Source organism: Homo sapiens, chromosome 1, assembly GCF_000001405.40.
Source record: "Homo sapiens chromosome 1, GRCh38.p14 Primary Assembly".
In the NCBI taxonomy this organism is placed as follows: Eukaryota; Metazoa; Chordata; class Mammalia; order Primates; family Hominidae; genus Homo; species Homo sapiens.
Window position 1 is genome coordinate 111,343,391 of NC_000001.11, and position 17,375 is coordinate 111,360,765.

A 17,375-nucleotide genomic window follows, 5' to 3' on the forward strand; every position below is an offset into this window, starting at 1 on the left:
CATTAACTGTCTCATAAAGCTATAACAGTCTCCATAAACATCTGGCATCCTCTTGATACTATAAAATGTGCATGATGGAAACTACTGAATTCTTAAGGTCTTCATCAAAACTGGCTACACTATAAAACTTTGTCTAAGTACTCCCTGGTACTAGCAGACACCTGCATGAGTTCCTTTGTGCATGGTCATCATTCAAAAACTGGCCTTTTGGCAATTCTTAGAGCTACCTGAAATTCTGCATTAGCCTATTATCATTACACAGATGGTTATACAGGAGATACACATGACATATAGACAGTCTGTCTTTGACTATACGATGTTCGGTCTGGCTTTACTGAAAAGTTGATAAATTTTGCATCACTCAGGATGTAGATGGGCCCAGTTAAGTTATGTTGATCACATTGGCAATATGAACAGAGATTGATGGGAAATTTCTCTTTCCTTGAGTATACTGGGATCTTTATTGACTTTGTTTTTAGAGTCTGATCTTTTTCTTTTAGGCTCTTACCTAAGAAGTCAAGCATTTGCTTTATGTTATTTCCTTGCTTTCTTTCGCTTCCCTATGTTCACCTTGCAGTCCTGTTGCTTTCTCCAAAATCTCAAACCAAGTATGGTTATTTTAAAGTCCATGTTTAATGACTCTGATATCTGGATTTTTCTGTGGGTCTGTTTCTACTCTTTTATTATAAGCTCTTGTTTTATATCAAATGCCAAACATTTTGCATGAAAAAAATGTAAAAATTAGTTGAGTCTCTGGATGATATCTTCAGAAAATACTTACTTTTGTTTATTACATGCAATAAGGATAGAAGTGGATCACTTTAATGCAATTGGGAACTGAATTGGTGTAAAGCTGAACTTCAGGGTTTTTTGACAGCTGGTCTATTTCTTGTTTACCCTTATTCCTAGGGTTTATCTCTTTGAAGTTCTGACTTAAACTTCAAACTGTGTTTTCCAGTTTCCCCTTCTCCATGGCCAACCTAAATCTTGTTTCCGAGTTCTCAGAGGCTGTCTAACCAAAGTTCTGCTCAAATCTTCTGCTTCTTAGCCAGCTTTTTATTTAGCAAGCGTTCCAATGGAACAGCAGCACCAAGGTTGAACTCACCACTTTGGGCTTCTCTTCTCTCTGAGATTTTGGTTCTGAATGTTCTTTCTTTCTGGGTATATCTTTGATATCTTCAAACATATATATTTTACTTATTCAATTCACCTGTTCTCAGCTGGAGAATTAGTCTGAAGCAAACCAGTCTACCAAAGTAAGAATGGATTACCACATTTTCAAGAAACTTTGCGAAATACATTTCATGTCACAAATAATGTAAACATTATTTTCAAAAAGCACATTAATACCTACAAATGTTAATATTACCTAAATTATTAATGGAAGTAAAAATCATCAAATCCATACCAATACAGTCATACACCACATGAAGACATTTTGATCAATGATGAACTGTATATACAATGGTGGCTCCCTAAAATTACAATGGAGCAGCCCTATACAGGTGTACCATTTTTAATTTTAAACCATAGTTTTACTGTTCCTTTTCTATGTTTAGGTAAGTTTAGATACATAAATACTTAATATCATGTTACAATTGTCTACAGTATTCAATATGGTAATGTGCTGTACAGGTTTGTAGCCTAGGAGTAAGAGGCCATACTATAAGCCTAGGTGTGTAGTAGGCTATACCATCTAGGTTTGTGTTAAATATAGTCTATGACGTTCGCAAAACAAAGTTGCCTAATGACACATTTCTTAGAAAACATCCTCATCACTAAGTAATGGGTGATTGCATTTCTTTACATTTTATTTACTATCAGTATTATTGCAATTGTATTTTAAGTAGACAAAATGCTTGGAGTAAATTATACAATAATTTTCAGACCCTATCTTTATTCCATTTAAGCTTGGCTCCTCATAACAACCTTTTATATTACTGGGCTTTCTGCATTATTTCCTATAAATTTCTTCACAATGTTAATGTATATAACTACTACTAATTATTTTTGTAGAGTCCAACAGGACATATTTGAATGTCATGTGGGACATGGGACAACTCACTGTATGCCTGGGCAATGCAGTGTAGGATGTCTAGCCTCCCTAGCCTGTTGACCAGGAACAACACCCCAACAATTTTTAACAAGCAAAAATTCTTCCACAAATTTCCAAAACACCCTCTGGGAGTCACTGTCACCTTTTTTGGAAAGTCTACCTTAGATCTATAAAAATCATCCCTGAAGGCTGTCCTAACGCGGAGTATGTGTGGATTCCAGGGTCATCACCTGTAAAGGGTCAAAGTATGGACCAGTCACACTGGGTGTTCTGTTAACCTCTAACACCTGGACAACTCCTAAAGCCATCCTAAAAATCGAGTGAAAACAAGCTAGTGTTAATATCCATGACAAAGGCAAAAAAGACAAAACACACTCTGATCTTTTTTTCTTCGGTTATTATTATCTTCAGTGATAATAACCTGTCGTATGTCACCCACCAAGTACCACGTTCTGAACTGTTTTAATCCCGTCATCTTGATCCTCTCAACAATCCTATATAGAGGAATTTTTATTCCCAATTTAGAGATGAGAAAACTGGGGCTTAGAAATTTGACTGCCCCAACTTCTAAAAAAAAAACTATTAGAGTCTTCTCTGATTCCGTGGCATTCTACCCGGTCCACGCAAGGCCTCCAGTTCTTTTAAAACCTCGCGCCCCCTCCCCACGGCCCCCCGGGATAGAATGGGCAACCTGATTGGAGGGGCTTGAGGAAAAGGAAAAATGGTCTAAGGGCCTAATATGGAACTAGCTGTCAGCTCAACTCCGCCCCCTACTCCTCTGCTGGGGCGTTGCCCAGGGAGTCCACCCCGGTACGCTGCAGCGGCTGTCTTTCTACTTTCACCTTACTTGCTGGTGGCCCAGACTTCGGGACATTCTGAACCTCACTGTCCTTCCCTCTACAACAGCGCATTCCTCTTGGCCCAGCTTCCAAAGCTATTTGCCGCCCCGTCAACCCTGCAGCCCCTACAGCCGCGAATCCAGGAAACCCTCTACCCGCAGCCCAGCTACTGAGTTTACAATCCCCTGGGCTTTGGGCTCCAAGGTGCGGGTTCCTGCCCCAGTAGTGGCTCGGTGGACGCCCCAACTTGCCGCGCAGGCGCGCTCGGGCCCTCTCCCCCTCCCCGCGCTCCGCAGCTGGGAATCACGGGACTAGCCTTCGTTTCCTTGGCAACGCAGTACACAAGTGCTAGCCCTAGCAGCTCGCGATGTGCTTCAGCAGAGCAGGTGAGGAGGGCTGCCGAGAAGCCTAGAGTAGAGGGCAGGTAGGGGGAAGGGTGGGGAAGCTGGGAAAGACGAAGTGGGAGGAAGTGCAGTTCGCCCCCCTCCAGGAGTTTGGCGTGGTTTTGTAAGCGCACGGTTGGGCCCTGTCCTCTGCTCAGTCTCCCCGACCTTCCCCTCCCGGAACGCGCTCACGTAGACCCAGGTGCCGTCCCTCACGTGGAGCCTCTCCTCTTTATTTTAGACGCTGCGGATAACTACCCTTTTGGAACATGTCAACAGAGGAAACTTTTTCCTCACTTCCATCCCCCGAATTTGATTGGGAACAAGTTTGTCCCTCTTAGGGGATCACCCCACAGAGGGCCTGGGTGTTATTTTTCAGATGTGAGTATTCACCTCCCCTTAGATGCTCCTCAGTTCCCCGGCTATTGAGGGATAGCCAAGTTTCCAAGTTTCGTAAAAGAAAAAATTCTGTGGGACTTGAGATCTCCAGAGTCCCAGCATAAGAAAGCGCTCTGTTCTTCTGCAAGCAGCTGTTTCAGCCAATGCCAGAGATTAAAGGATTATTGCTCCCCGCCTTGCACCTCCATTAAACGCAAGCCCTAGCTTCATAAAATCCCTACTCCTTCCTCACTTCCAAAGGCCTCTGAGCCAGTGCCAGTTACCCTCCCATTCCTCCAAACCTCAGGCTGACAGTTGCATTAGAGTAAGTTCAGCTCTGTGGGGCTCCGAAGACTGATGCATTTGAATATATGGCAATGTCCTATAGTCTACGTATCCAGCCACACCCCTCTACAAAGTTACCTGTATTACTTGTGTAATTCTATGGTCTTGACCTCAAAGGAGTCAAGACAATAAAGAATAATCCCTTGCAGAGAAGGTTCAGATGGGAACACACTAAGCTCACTCCATTTCGATGGCCCTGATGTTCTCTGACTATGCGTTGTTTTTTCTTTCTTTTTTTTTTTTTTTGGTGTTTTTGTTTGTTTTTTAATATACCACCCAAAGGGATATGGCTTGGCATACGACTTATCTAAGATCCCAACCAGTATAAAAGGATATACTTTGGGAGCCAGAACAGCTGTGAGGTTTAAGCCAATACAGAAGGTAATGTGCTGGGATTTTAGTGTTATCCACGTTGTTGCATGCATTTGCACAGGAGTGCAAAGGGCAGAGAGCAAGAGGGGGGTGATCTAAAAGAATATGCCCTGAAATTAAAGAAAAGTAGGCATTTAAGCAAAAGCTATTAAGAAGCCTATCTGAAAAGCTTGGGCATTAACATTGCAAATATGCGTGTGAGTGTACCGGGGAGAGTGGAAAACAATTTACTGAAGAAATGGTCCCAACACAGGGCTTTAGTGTTGAGATGCCTGAGGTTAAACATTCGAAGCTTGTGTTTATATACATTATATTGTCTTGTCAGTTAAATAACAAATTCCAACTTTTCCACCCTTTTGTGTGATTGGGTTGCAAGTCTAAAGTTCAGTAGGGGATCCTAATCTCTTATTGGACGACATTTTCCTGACACTTGAGCTTAGGGAGCAGAGATACTATCTCTAAAAATCTCTCAGTGAGGTGTTAAGCATAGTGGCCGTGATAAGTTGCCTTGGTTCTCTACCCATCCTAGATTTATTTCTACAACCTATATATTACGTATCACTAGGTAGCTGAACCACACCCGTATCTCGGTTTTCTACCTACCGAAGACTTATTTCTGTAGCTTGAGGTGGCTGAACCATAGCTGATTTATGAACAGAAAGAGGATGATTCTGTTTTTTCTACCTGGAAGGCTTTATGTGTATATATATACATATCACTCTGTAACATAATGATCTTTTTCTTGGAAACAGGAAATGACACCTCATGCAGGCAGGTACCAGAAAGTAAGTCCTCAGCAGGAAAAACACAAACAAAATTTTGCTCCATTTAATGTCTTGGTGCCTCGATTTAAGAACTACCCAAAGGACACTTACTATCCCAGGTATGTCTCCTCCCTTTTGGTGCACTTCAACAAAAAAAGCAATAGGAGGAAAAGAAGTACGTAATAAAAGAAGCACATAAAGAAGGGATGACATCCAAACCATCGCAGTTAAATAAGGAACCATTCAGAGATTTAATCAATTGTCTCACAGATTTCTGGCATTGTAGAATGTAGAATCATAGTTACTCATTCAATGAATTTTTATTAACATGCCAGGTAGTTTTGTAGGTTCGATAGATTTTTGCACTAAATCCATCACACAAGGCTCCTGATTTCTTGGGGCTTACATTCTAGAGTCCAGACAGAGCACAGGCAAATACACAAGAAAATATCAATAGTGATAGAGTGACCATATAATTTGTTAGTCAAACGATGACACTTCTGAGAGTAAAAGGGGGCCTATTAATAATTCTACCAAGACAGTACCCATAAGGTAGGGACTGTCATGGACAAACCAGGAAGTAGGTTGTCCAGGCTACAAAGAAGGTAAAACAGGATGACAATGTGATAGGGAGTGATGGCCTGGAGTCTACTTTAGAAAGGGTTGAAGAAATGACAGTTAACCTGAGATCTAAATGACAAGACTGAGCCAGCCCTGTGAAGATCTGGGGACCGAGCATTCCCAGCAGAAGGAACAGCAAGTGCAAAGGCTATAAATTGGGAAGGAATTTGACGTGAACAAAAAGGCATGCTGCCATGGCTAGAGTGTAGTGAGCAAGTAGGAAATGAGACAGAAATGGAGGGCATGCTGGAGCACATAGGCCTTGCAGGCCAACAGGCTTATTCTCAATGCTTTAGGAAGCTATTCAGAATGTATAGACTTGTAGGGCAAAAGATCAAGGACTTTCTTTTATTGATGAGAAATCCAAGGATCACAGAGTGATGTAACTTTCTCAAGTTGCATTAAGGAAGTAGAAGCATTGAGTCTTGACCCCCAAGTCCAGTCCATTATTTCCTGACAGTAAAGAGTCCACACCAAAAGACAAAGTGTATATGAACAAAGACAATTTTTAAATGACCCCATTGTCAAGAAAATTTAACTGGCTTTGCTTTGCTTTGCTTTGCCTACATTGCAGATAGATTATCACTGCACTTTTATCACCAACTTTAAATTGTGGGCAGTACTAATTCATCACTGCTTTAGATCTCTTTCATCACCCACCGCTTCTAGGACCTTCTCATCTCTCAGCTATAGATACTGAGGTACAGAAATATCTTTTAATCTGGAGTCGATCTGTGCTCTAACTGGATGTCAAGATTGTCAAGTTAGATGTTTAACGCTAACATCTAACTCGAAATACATTAACAGGTAAAGGAATCCCATGCTTAATTAAAAAGCTAATCAATCTGTTGCCTTTTTCCAAGAGGTTAGGCCTAGTCCAGGGACGGCTCTGGTACTGATGGAGTTTGTGTATGATCACTAACTCATTAGACATGATGCTTGTATTTTTATTTCTAGCCCTGGTGCATACAACCCAGAGAAGAAGCCACCGCCAAAAATTGCCTGGCCAATGAAATTTGGATCTCCAGACTGGGCTCAGGTTCCATGTCTACAGAAAAGAACCCTAAAAGCTGAGGTAATAAGATTGGAACTTCTGTAGAAGACTCTTATTCGATCTAGTACTTTCATAGGTATTAGGGACTCTTAATTAGGGGTCTGTGAATGAACTTCAGGAAGTCCTTGGTCCCAAAAAATTATATGCACAATTTTGTGTGTATATGAATCTGAGGAACTTTTTGGAGAATTACACTATTTCATTAGATTCTTAAAGGTATATATGACTAAACAAAAGTGACATTTTCTTATTTGATCCTTAAATAACTTTTGTGGTAGGTACAGAGGAAATATCCCTACACAATAGAGGCCCAGATGGATTAAGTGATTTGTGCAGGTTTCACTACTGGAATCTGGATCTTGTGACTCCTAATACATTGCTCTTTCCGACATACCCCTTGAGTACTAGATCACTGAGGAGCCATAGAGAATTCAGCTAAGAGCATGGATTATGGGGACAAAACTGCCTGGATTCAAATACTAGCTGCAGTATTTACTTGTGTAATCTTGAGCAAATCTTTTGACTTTTCTAAGCCTCAGTTTTTTAATCTGTAAAATGGGTATTAAAATAGAATCAATCCGATAAGGTTATAAAGAAAATGTGGAAAATCATTTAACACAGTACTTGATAACATAGTAATTGTTCAATCTGTTAGCTATCATAATTCCAGAGGTGCTTTTTTCTTTCCTAGTGGAACTTTTCATTAATTCTACAATTATTTATTAAATGCCAAATGTATTAACATTATTGCATTAGGGCCTATGGGCAACAACTCAAGAATTAAACATATAGTCCTTGACTTCAAGAAGCCCACCAACTGCTTGGGGATTTACTAAGTAGTAAATAATTCCTAGCATGGTATACACTATAGTAAGATGATAAAGGGTAGATGTACATACAAATTTTGGGAGAATCACTAAGGCTAGATTACTATGGAGTTGGGATTCACCTCTATAATGTACAGTTTTTTTTTTTTTTTTTTTTGCATAACTGGGAAGACCAGAGGCAGAGGGTTCTCATTAGAATATTGATCTAGAAAACGTTCTTTCATTGCAGCTGTCCACAGACAAAGACTTTAGAAAGCATCGGAACCGTGTGGCCTACCTAAGCCTGTATTATAATTGAGCGGCTGTAACTACCTTCACGTGCTCCTCTTATACACAGACTCTCCAGGACTGAGGACAGAGCTGCTCTTCTTCTTCTACGTTACTGTGGCCCTCTTGTCTGGCAGCCTGGAGCCCAGGGAGGGACAGGGGCTTATAGCTGCTGTATGAGAACATAAAGACTAGTGCACAGTGCTATCTCCATCTACTGACTTGTGGTGTACACGTGCATGTCTGGGTCTGTGGGTTTCTGTTGGGTGCTGAGTTGGGTGATTTCATTTTAGTGAAATATTTGTGGGCCCCTGCTCTCTAGTTCTAATTCCCAGGAGCCAATTTTATATATTCTACCACTAGCCCTGGTCATAGGAGGCTGTTAGCCTATACATGTCAAGGGTTTGGATGGGATTTGGGCTTGCTAGATACAGAAAACACTTAAGGCAGATTAAAACATGTATTGGAGCTCTCCCAATTGTGTTGCTCAGTGTGGAGTGGGAAGGTCTTGATTTGGTTGACTTTCCCAGATTGACATAAAACTCAAAAACCAAAAAATTGCCCCTTTCCTATGACATCATCCATTTAGTCTGTGAGTCAACATATATACTGAGGTCCTACTATGTGTTGAGCAGAGCAGTAAGCACTGGGGATATGGCAGGAATCAAAATAAACTTATCTACTAAGTCCTTGGGCCTGGCCTGAAGTCAGAGGAGGACTCCCCAGGGCAGCTAGGGGATTGGGTCTGCCCTCCAATCTGAATGACCCCCTAGAACCTTACAAGTCATTCTGGGGTTATAAAGATCATAACATTTATAGCCCCAGACTGACTTGTAAGCAGCTGCATTTAAAGTACTTACTCAGACACTCAGGCCTGAGAGATAGACCCCTTTCTTTCCAGCACTAGCTGAAATAATCAAGTATATAGTTTGTTCAGGATTGGCACTAAATGTGATTTAATCTTTTAATAAAAGGGTCCTTTTGTACCCACTTAGGCTTCTTCGTAATTACCAGAAAGGTGATAAGCCTGCATGTGTCTGGACACCAAAGATTGAGAAGCTGCCAGTGGCTGCAAGAGAGCCTACTGTAACCCTCATGGCCACCCCCTGATGAGTGTTACCTGGGGAAAGGGCTAGCAAGAGGTGAAGCCTCCTGGTCATATGATGCTGGGGGTGCCTAATTCCTTAAAGGCCAAGGTCTTCTGAAATAATAATGGTGAAGGACAGAAAAGTCTTTATGAGAAATCACATAGGATATATTAAGATAATGATAAAGATACCTCAGCAAGAACATACCTAATATATACACTTCTTTTAATCTGATGACTTAATGATTTCTGTTATCAAGAAGTATTTATGACTTGAGATAAGTCAGGATTAACTGTTATCACCTCTCCTGTACACCTCCCTCCTTTTTCTCCTTTGTACCCACATGTGCAGATTTTTTCAGAGGTGACAATTTAGCATTTAATGTTTTTTTTTCTGCTTCAAGTTCTTAGGTCCCTTTGGAGGATATTGATGGGGGTGGAGGTGGGGATAGAACATCTTTCACACTGTTTGGTACAGAGACGCTCAAAGCTTTTCCCAGGGAAAGGAACTCTCTAAAATAGTAATCTGATTTGATGAAAGATAAAATTTTAATATAGCTTCAGTTAACCTTCAGGATACTTTAAATGCTACATTGTATATAAAAGTAATAAAGTACAAATGAACACGAAGACTAAAACATACTGTGCCATATTTATTTTACATCTAGACTTGGTTCGAGGAGTTTATAGTATTTTTAGGTCTTAATAGAGTTAAGCTTTATTATAATGCAGTTTTAGTGGGGTAAAGCTTCCAAAGTGACAGATTTATATAATACGTAGACTACATGACATATTGGAGGATGTAGTTTGACATGCAGACAACAGAATCTATGACACTAGGATTTTATGAGTATGTTTAAGGCCAGTTGCAACACTTACAGTTCTGCTCCAACCTTGGGCATACTTGAGGTGAAAGGTATTGCCTTCCACACACCAGTAGAACTTGTTATTATCTTCAGGATTACTATAAATGCCATCTGCTTTACCACTACAGAAAGCTCTGTCTCCCCTATTGCCCCCATCACTGCCGCCTTCTCCATCACTTCCCCCATCACTGCCACCTTCTCTACCACGGCCACTGCCTCTGCCAATATTAGCACAGAAGCCTTCACTTCTGGGTGTCACAGGTCGGTTATACCAGCTGTTGACAGCTGGTGGAATACATTCTAAAAGAATAAAAACATTTCAAAGCATCATCTTAACCTCTTTTAAACATAGAAACAAGCAGCTCTGGACATTCCCCTATATCAGTTCTGTTCTCAGAGAACTGGAGGGAAGCTGTTAGCTGGGAAGAATGCTGCACGGGGACAGATGTCCAAAGCAGGGAGGAGTGAAACAAAGGCCTCTGGGGTCCTAGCAGGATGTCAAGCCTGGGCTTCCATTCTACTTCCACTAGAGGGGAAACAAATCCAACCCTACAGTGATAGGAAAGGACTTTATGTTGAGATTCATTAATATTTGGGTTTCGATAAGGGAGGCTTATCTGTCAGTATTTCTGTCATATGTAATATATTTGGGTTTTTGTCATCTTGTTATGCTTTGTCTTTTGTGCTCTATGTTTCCTTGCTTCGTTTCAGCACTGTTTTTCCCTTCTTTCCTCTTCCACGGTGATTCAGAAGTTTTATATTTAATTTTCCTCTACCAGTAGAATGCTCTCAACCACTAAAATTTTCTGGCTCATTGTTTAATTTGAGCAAATAATTTTTTTGTTGTTGTTTTTTTGAGACAGAGTCTCACCCTGTCACCCAGGCTGGAGTGCAGTGGCACGATCTTGGCTCACCGCAACCTCTGCCTCCCGAGTCCAAGCGATTCTCCTGCCTCAGTCTCCTGAGTAGCTAGGACTACAGGCGCGTGCCACCACTCCCGGCTAATGTTTTGTGTTCTGTAGTAGAGATGGGGTTTCACCATATTGGCCAGGCCGGTCTTGAACTCCTGACCTCATGATCCACATGCCTCGGCCTCCCAAAGTGCTGGGATTACAGGCATTAGCCACCGCGCCCAGCCAAGCAAATCATTTTATAATCTCTCATAGGTTTTTACAGTTCTAAAAATCAACAATTATATTAATTTCCTTAGAGACCTAAGGAACCTCTCAGATAGCATCTTCCACTTCTCTATCTCCACTTTGAGACCTGCCTCAAGGGATGCTTAATCCAAGGAATGCACAAAGCCCACGAAGGGCAGGAGTTTCTTGCTTCATATGTTGAGACCCATCAGCCACCTGAGTGTTTGTCCCTGATCCTTTTTATGATGTCCCTCTAGCCATCCTCACCAAGACCCAGACAACAAAATGTATGCATCTAAATTAGGAAATGGTGCACTGCCATGAATGAGAGAATTGATCTAGCTCAGAGATAAATGCCAGTATATACAGGCATACCTCAAAGATGTTGCAGGCTCAGTTCCAGGCCACCACAATAAAGCAAATGTTGGAATAAAATGAGTCACACAAGTTTTTTGGTTTCCTGGTGCATATAAAAGTTATGTTTACACTCTACTGTAGTCTATTAAGTGTGAAATAGCATTATGTCTCAAACAGTGTACATACCTTAATTTTAAAATATTTTATTGCTAAAAAATGTTAAGAACTATCTACACCTTCAGTGAGCCATAATCTTTTTGCTGGTGGAGCATCTTGCCTCAGTGTTGATGGCTGCTGACTGATGGTGGTTGCTAAAGGTTGGGGTGGCTGTACCAGTTTCTTAAGATAACAATAAAGTCTGCTACATCAAATTGAAATTGACTTCCTTTCATGAAAGATTTCTGTGTAGTATGCAATGCTACTTGAAAACATTTCACCCACAGTAGAACTTCTCTCAAAATTGGAGTCAGTTCTCTCAAAATTGGAGTCAGTTCTCTCAAACTCTGCTGCTACTTTATCAACTAAGTTTATATAATATTCTAAATCCTTGGTGGTCATTTCAACAATGTTCACAGCATTTTCACCAAGAGTAGATTTTATCTCAAGAAACTACTTTCTTTGCTCATCCATAAGAAGCAACCCATCATTTGTTCACGTTTTATCATGAGATTGCAGCAATTCAGTCCCATCTTCAGGCTCCACTTCTAATTCTAGTTCTCTTGCTATTTCCACCACATCTGCAGTGACTTCCTCCACAAAAGTCTTGAACACATCAAAGTCATCCTTGAGGGTTGGAATCAACTTCTTCCAAACTTCTGTTAATGTTGATATTTTGACATCTTCCTTTGAATCACACAGGTAGTTGATAGTATCTTAGAATGGTGAATCCTCTCCAGAAGGTTTTCCATTTACTTTTCCCAGATTAATCAGAGGAATCACTCTGTACAGCAGCTATAGCCTTATAAAATGTATTTCCTTAAATGATAAGACTTGGAAGTCAAAATTACTATTGATCCATTTGCTGCAGAATAGATGTTGTGTTAGCAGGCATGAAAACAACAATAATTTCTTTGTACATCTCCATCCAGGCCCTTTGGTAACTAGATGCATTGTCAATGGCCAGTAATATTTTAAAAGAAATTTTTTCTGAGCAATAGGTCTCAATGGTGGTCTAAAAATATTCAGGAAGCCATACTGTAAACAGATGTGCTATCATCCAGGCCTTATTGTTCCATTTATACACCACAGGCAGAGTAGTTTGAACATAATTATTAATGGACCTAGGATTTTCAGAATGGTTAATGAGCATTGGCTTCAACTTAAAGTCACCAGCTGCATTAGCCCCTAAGAAGAGAGTCAACCTGTCCTTTGAAGCTTTGAAGCCAGGCATTGACTTCTCCTCTCTAGTTACAAAAGTCCTAGATGAGCATCTTCTTCCAATAGAAGGATGTCTTGTCACCTTAGCTACATAAATAACTAAATCTGTTATTTAGTGTAGCCTCCTTTACCAATGATCTTAACTTCATCACCTGGATAACTTGTTGCAGCTTCTATGTCAACACTCGCTGCTTCACCTTACTCTTTCATGTTGTAGAGGTGGCTTCTTTCTTTAAACCTCATGAACCAACCTCTGCTAGCTTCACACTTTTTTTCTTTAGCTTCATCACTCCTCCCAGTCTTCATAGAATTGAAGAGTTAGGGCCTGGCTCTGGATTAGGCTTTGGCTTAAGGGAAAGTTATCGCTGGTTTGATCTTCTATCTAGACCACTAAAACTTCCTTCATATGGCAATAAGACTGTTTTACTTTTTTATCAATCATGTGTTCACTAGAGTAGCACTTTTAATTTCTTTCAAGAACTTTTTCCTCCGCATTCACAACACGGCTAACTGGCACAAATGGCCTAGCTTTTGGCCTATCTTGGCTTTCAACATGTCTTCCTCACTAAGCTTAGCTTTTGATTTAAAGTGAGAGATATGCAACTTTTCCTGTCACTTGAACACTTAGGATATTATAGGGTTATTAATTGGCCTAATTTCAATTTTGTTCTGTCTTAGAGAATAGGGAGGCTCCAGGAGAGGAAGAGAGATAGGGAAACGGCCGGTGAAGCAGTCAGAACACATACATTTATTGATTAAGTTCATTGTCTTACATGAGTGCTATTACTTGTGCCCCAAAACAATTAGAATGACAACATTCAAGATCACTAATCATAGATCACCATAGTAGAAATAATAGTAGTGAAAACATTTGAAATATTGTGAGAATTACCAAAATGTGACATAGAGACACAAAATGAGCACATGCTGTTGGAAAAACAGCACTGATTGATAGAATTTCTTATCACAGGGTTGCTGCAAACCTTCAATCTGTGAAAAACACAATATCTGCAAAGCACAATAAAGTGAAGTGCAATAAAACAAGACATGTCTGTATATCAAGCTGGTTTTCAGGATACCCAGTTCCTGGCCTAAATTTTTCTGAGCAACAAGGCCTAGGTCTAGGGTATCTAGTGCATTCAAATTCTAGCTATCAAACTTAGCGCTGGTCCCATGACTAAAAAGCAGATTTCTAAAAGGGCACTTTCTGTAAGTGTGTCCCTTTTCTCAGCTGTGAGGGCCTAGAAGTTCCCTGGCTGTCTCCGTGCACCCTGGCCTCTCTTGTCTTTGCTGTTCTTTGCAGCCTCACCTGCATCTTCTTCAGAACAGCATGTTGGACTTAGTCATGATGCACCTGAGGACAGAACCAGGTGTGACTTCAGCTTGCTTATGAGCAGGTATTTCCTCTCATTGCAGAAGGACCTTGAGAAGTCATCCAAATCAATGGTCCAAACCATGGACCAAGCAAAATTGTTCTCCTTGAGAAAGTCCACCTGTGGACAAAAAGTGTACTTGGACCAGAATCAGATGGCATCCATTCAACAAGCAGACAACTGAGTATGGGCTGACAGGTGACAATAGGGAGATAAATGCTCTTCTTCTATAAAAGGGTATGTGCTTTGTGGATTCAAGACATAATTGATGGACTCAGCTCTATTCTTGTTTTCTTGTCCTATTTAATAAACTCTTGGGTAGTAAATATAAATAAAGTTATTATTTATTTAATTCTAGTATTAAATAGCATTAGGTTAAGCTATATTTTTACATTAATTACTCAATCTTCACAATACTTCACAACTACCATATAGATTCTGTTATTATTCTTTCATAAATTTGTTGGAACTCACCCAGTCTCAGACTGAAGATTTAGAACAAGGTATAACTGATTCCAAAGCCTAAACTCTTAACCACTGCACTATAAGGCCCCTTCCTTCCTCCTTGTCAGCCACCTTTCTCCTGACCCGGATTCTGTAATGAACAAACAGAGTGGCATAGTAGAAAGAACCTAGACTGTGAGCCAGACCACATATTCGATTACTGCTTTTCTTTTCCAGCTATGTGACCTTGGACTAGTCTATGAGCATATATGATCCTCAGCTTATATACCTGTAAAATGGAGAGGGTGTTTTTTACTACACTGGATTGTGTATAATCAAGTAAGATAATGGTTGTAAATTCTTGGTTTCTAAGAGTAAAGCATTTAGGTAAAAATATAAAGGGCTATTTTTATTATTGTCATTAAAGGTGATGGTCTTCGACAAATCTTGTAATGATATAATCTTAAAATCATCACATATACTAGTAGAGATTCACAGTGGACAAACATTGGGAAACTTTAATCATATTAGAAAATTCTAGTATATTTTGGTATATTGTGCTATATGTTATACATTGTATTATTGAATATTATATTTAATTATATAATTTTCTCTGTCTTGGAGAAAAAGTAAGTAATAATAAGGTTGGTCTACCCTTTCTCTAGTCATATTTAAAATCTTGAAATCACATGTCTTAGGAAAATGGTCTTCTGATGAATGTAGGATTTGAAGCCAGAATTGTTATTTTTTAGTGATGCTCGTATTTTGTACCCATTGCTTTCAATGGTATCATAACCAATCCACTCAGTGTTTTGTAAGCATATGGGACTTTTTGATCTTCAATCCATGTACTTGTGGCTTCTCTTAAGAATGTGCAGATCTATGGGAGAATGGAGAAGGGAATGTTGAGTACTTCACAGATCTATGCCGTGTATTGGAGGAGAAAGGACTTAAACAGGAGAAAAAAATAGGAAGAAATGGGAGGGTGTGGAAAAGAGGACATTATGAAATCTACATTAAGCTCACATATCTTTCCAGAAAGTGATTTTGTCTCATAAAATGAAGACATAAATTTCCATGAAACCAGGCTACAAACAAGTATAATTCTAATTCTATACCCAGTTTATTTGGGAAATGGTAAGCATGGCTACGTGTGCTGTGGTCAAGTTTGCTCTTGAGTTTTTAGCAAACACTGCTTATCATTCATCCATCGGTCTCAGAATTTTCAGGACAGAATTCAAGTAAACACAATTAATTCTACTTGTAAGATTGAATTATTTATTATACCTGGGCTAGCCTATTAAAATCCTTCTGTGGTTGTTTACATGGGTATAGTAGAATCTGGTATTACTTGGAGGCTGTGAGAAGAATGATGGTGTGCTTCAAAGCCCAAAGAGGAAATTCACATTTTTTTTTCCCAAGTGAAACTGTTCCACAGCCATTGAGCTGCTTATACTCAGAACAATGAGAAGCCAGGGTATAGGAACTCAAGAGAAGAATGACAGGGTGAATTGAAGAGTGAAGGAATTTTCCCCAGCGCATCTGAAGTCTGAATTAGCCATGTCAGTTACCTCACAGTTAAGTCCCGAATCCAGCCTAGCATGCAGAAGGACCAGATGAGATGACCCTGCTCTACCTGAGGTGTCAGAGCTTCTGAGCCAGAAGGTCCTCCCATAGGTGGGGAGCCCTGTGATGAGCTCCTCTGTTAGGATCCCATTGTCTCTCCAGTACATCATGGCATAGTCCTGAAGAAGGCAACATTATTTCATCACCAGTGTTTGCGAAGGGGTGGCCTGCCCCTCCACACCTGTGGGTGTTTCCCATTGGGTGGGATGAGAGACTGAGAAAAGAGAGAGACACAAAGACAAAGCATAGAGAAAGAAAAGTGGGCCCAGGGGACCAGCGCTCAGCATACGGAGGACCCACTCCGGCACCGGTCTCTGAGTTCCCTCAGTATTTATTGATCATTATCTATACCATCTCAGAGAGGGGGATGTGGCAGGACAATAGGATAATAGTGGGGAGAGGGTCAACAGGAAAACATTTGAACAAATGTCTCTGTATCATAAACAAGGTAAAGAAAAAGGTGCTGTGCTTTGATGTGCACATACATAAACATCTCAATGCATTAAAGAGCAGTATTGCCACGAGCATGTCTCACCTCCAGCCCTAAGGCAGTTTTCTCCTATCTCAGTAGATGGAATATACAATCGGGTTTTACACCGAGACATTCCATTGCCCAGGGACGAGCTGGAGACAGATGCCTTCCTCTTATCTCAACTGCAAAGAGGCCTTCCTCTTTTACTAATCCTCCTCAGCACAGACCCTTTACGGGTGTCAGGCTGGGGGACGGTCAGGTCTTTCCCTTCCCACGAGGCCATATTTCAGACTATCACATGAGGAGAAACCTTGGACAATTCCTGGCTTTCCTAGGCAGAGGTCCCTGTGGCATTCTGCAGTGTTTTGTGTCCCTGGGTGCTTGAGATTAGGGAGTGGTAATGACTTTTAACAAGCATGCTGCCTTCAAGCATTTGTTTAACAAAGCACATCCTGCATAGCCCTAAATCCATTAAAACTTGAGTCCACACAGTACATGTTTCTGCGAGCACAGGGTTGGGGGTAGGGTTACAGATTAACAGCATCTCAAGGCAGAAGAATTTTTCTTAGTACAGAACAAAATGGAGTCTCTTATGTCTACTTCTTTCTATGTAGACACAGTTACAGTCTGATCTCTCTTTTCCCTACAGTTTGTTGTATTTGATGAACAAAGTCTAGCAATTGTTCCCCAAAGAGAAAGCCTTAATATACAACCAAGATTCTCCCCAA

At 40.5% G+C, this 17,375-nt stretch overlaps 1 protein-coding gene across 5 annotated transcripts in view, besides 4 other annotated features; it reads left to right on the plus strand.

The window, feature by feature from the left end:
* The window catches only part of CIMAP3 (ciliary microtubule associated protein 3), a 28,355-nt gene extending 18,728 nt beyond the window's left edge, over nucleotides 1-9,627 (plus strand). Inside the window, exons 1-6 of one of the 5 annotated variants that reach the window (NM_181643.6) lie at nucleotides 3,232-3,281; nucleotides 3,520-3,659; nucleotides 4,284-4,382; nucleotides 5,126-5,256; nucleotides 6,716-6,833; nucleotides 7,869-9,623. In NM_181643.6, the coding sequence (NP_857594.2) occupies nucleotides 3,263-3,281; nucleotides 3,520-3,659; nucleotides 4,284-4,382; nucleotides 5,126-5,256; nucleotides 6,716-6,833; nucleotides 7,869-7,937 (576 nt within the window). In that variant the 5' untranslated portion in view covers nucleotides 3,232-3,262 and the 3' untranslated portion in view covers nucleotides 7,938-9,623. Of the gene's footprint in view, nucleotides 1-3,169; nucleotides 3,282-3,519; nucleotides 3,660-4,283; nucleotides 4,383-5,125; nucleotides 5,257-6,715; nucleotides 6,834-7,868 lie in introns of those variants that run through there. The other 4 variants (XM_005270472.2, NM_001300831.1, XM_017000322.2 and 1 more) reach the window with 4 other exon arrangements.
* Nucleotides 2,866-3,075: an enhancer, noted in NCBI's record as "active region_1494". NCBI's record gives its function as "activates an Ori minimal core promoter by ATAC-STARR-seq in GM12878 lymphoblastoid cells {active_cell/tissue: GM12878}" and the evidence as "EXISTENCE:reporter gene assay evidence [ECO:0000049][PMID:35858748]".
* Nucleotides 3,206-3,255: a silencer, noted in NCBI's record as "silent region_1183". NCBI's record gives its function as "represses an Ori minimal core promoter by ATAC-STARR-seq in GM12878 lymphoblastoid cells {active_cell/tissue: GM12878}" and the evidence as "EXISTENCE:reporter gene assay evidence [ECO:0000049][PMID:35858748]".
* Nucleotides 9,973-10,474: an enhancer, noted in NCBI's record as "H3K27ac hESC enhancer chr1:111895985-111896486 (GRCh37/hg19 assembly coordinates)". NCBI's record gives its function as "activates a minimal SCP1, AML or CMV promoter by ChIP-STARR-seq in naive H9 embryonic stem cells {active_cell/tissue: H9 hESC(naive)}" and the evidence as "EXISTENCE:reporter gene assay evidence [ECO:0000049][PMID:30033119]".
* Nucleotides 15,811-16,638: an enhancer, noted in NCBI's record as "NANOG-H3K27ac-H3K4me1 hESC enhancer chr1:111901823-111902650 (GRCh37/hg19 assembly coordinates)". NCBI's record gives its function as "activates a minimal SCP1, AML or CMV promoter by ChIP-STARR-seq in primed H9 embryonic stem cells {active_cell/tissue: H9 hESC(primed)}" and the evidence as "EXISTENCE:reporter gene assay evidence [ECO:0000049][PMID:30033119]".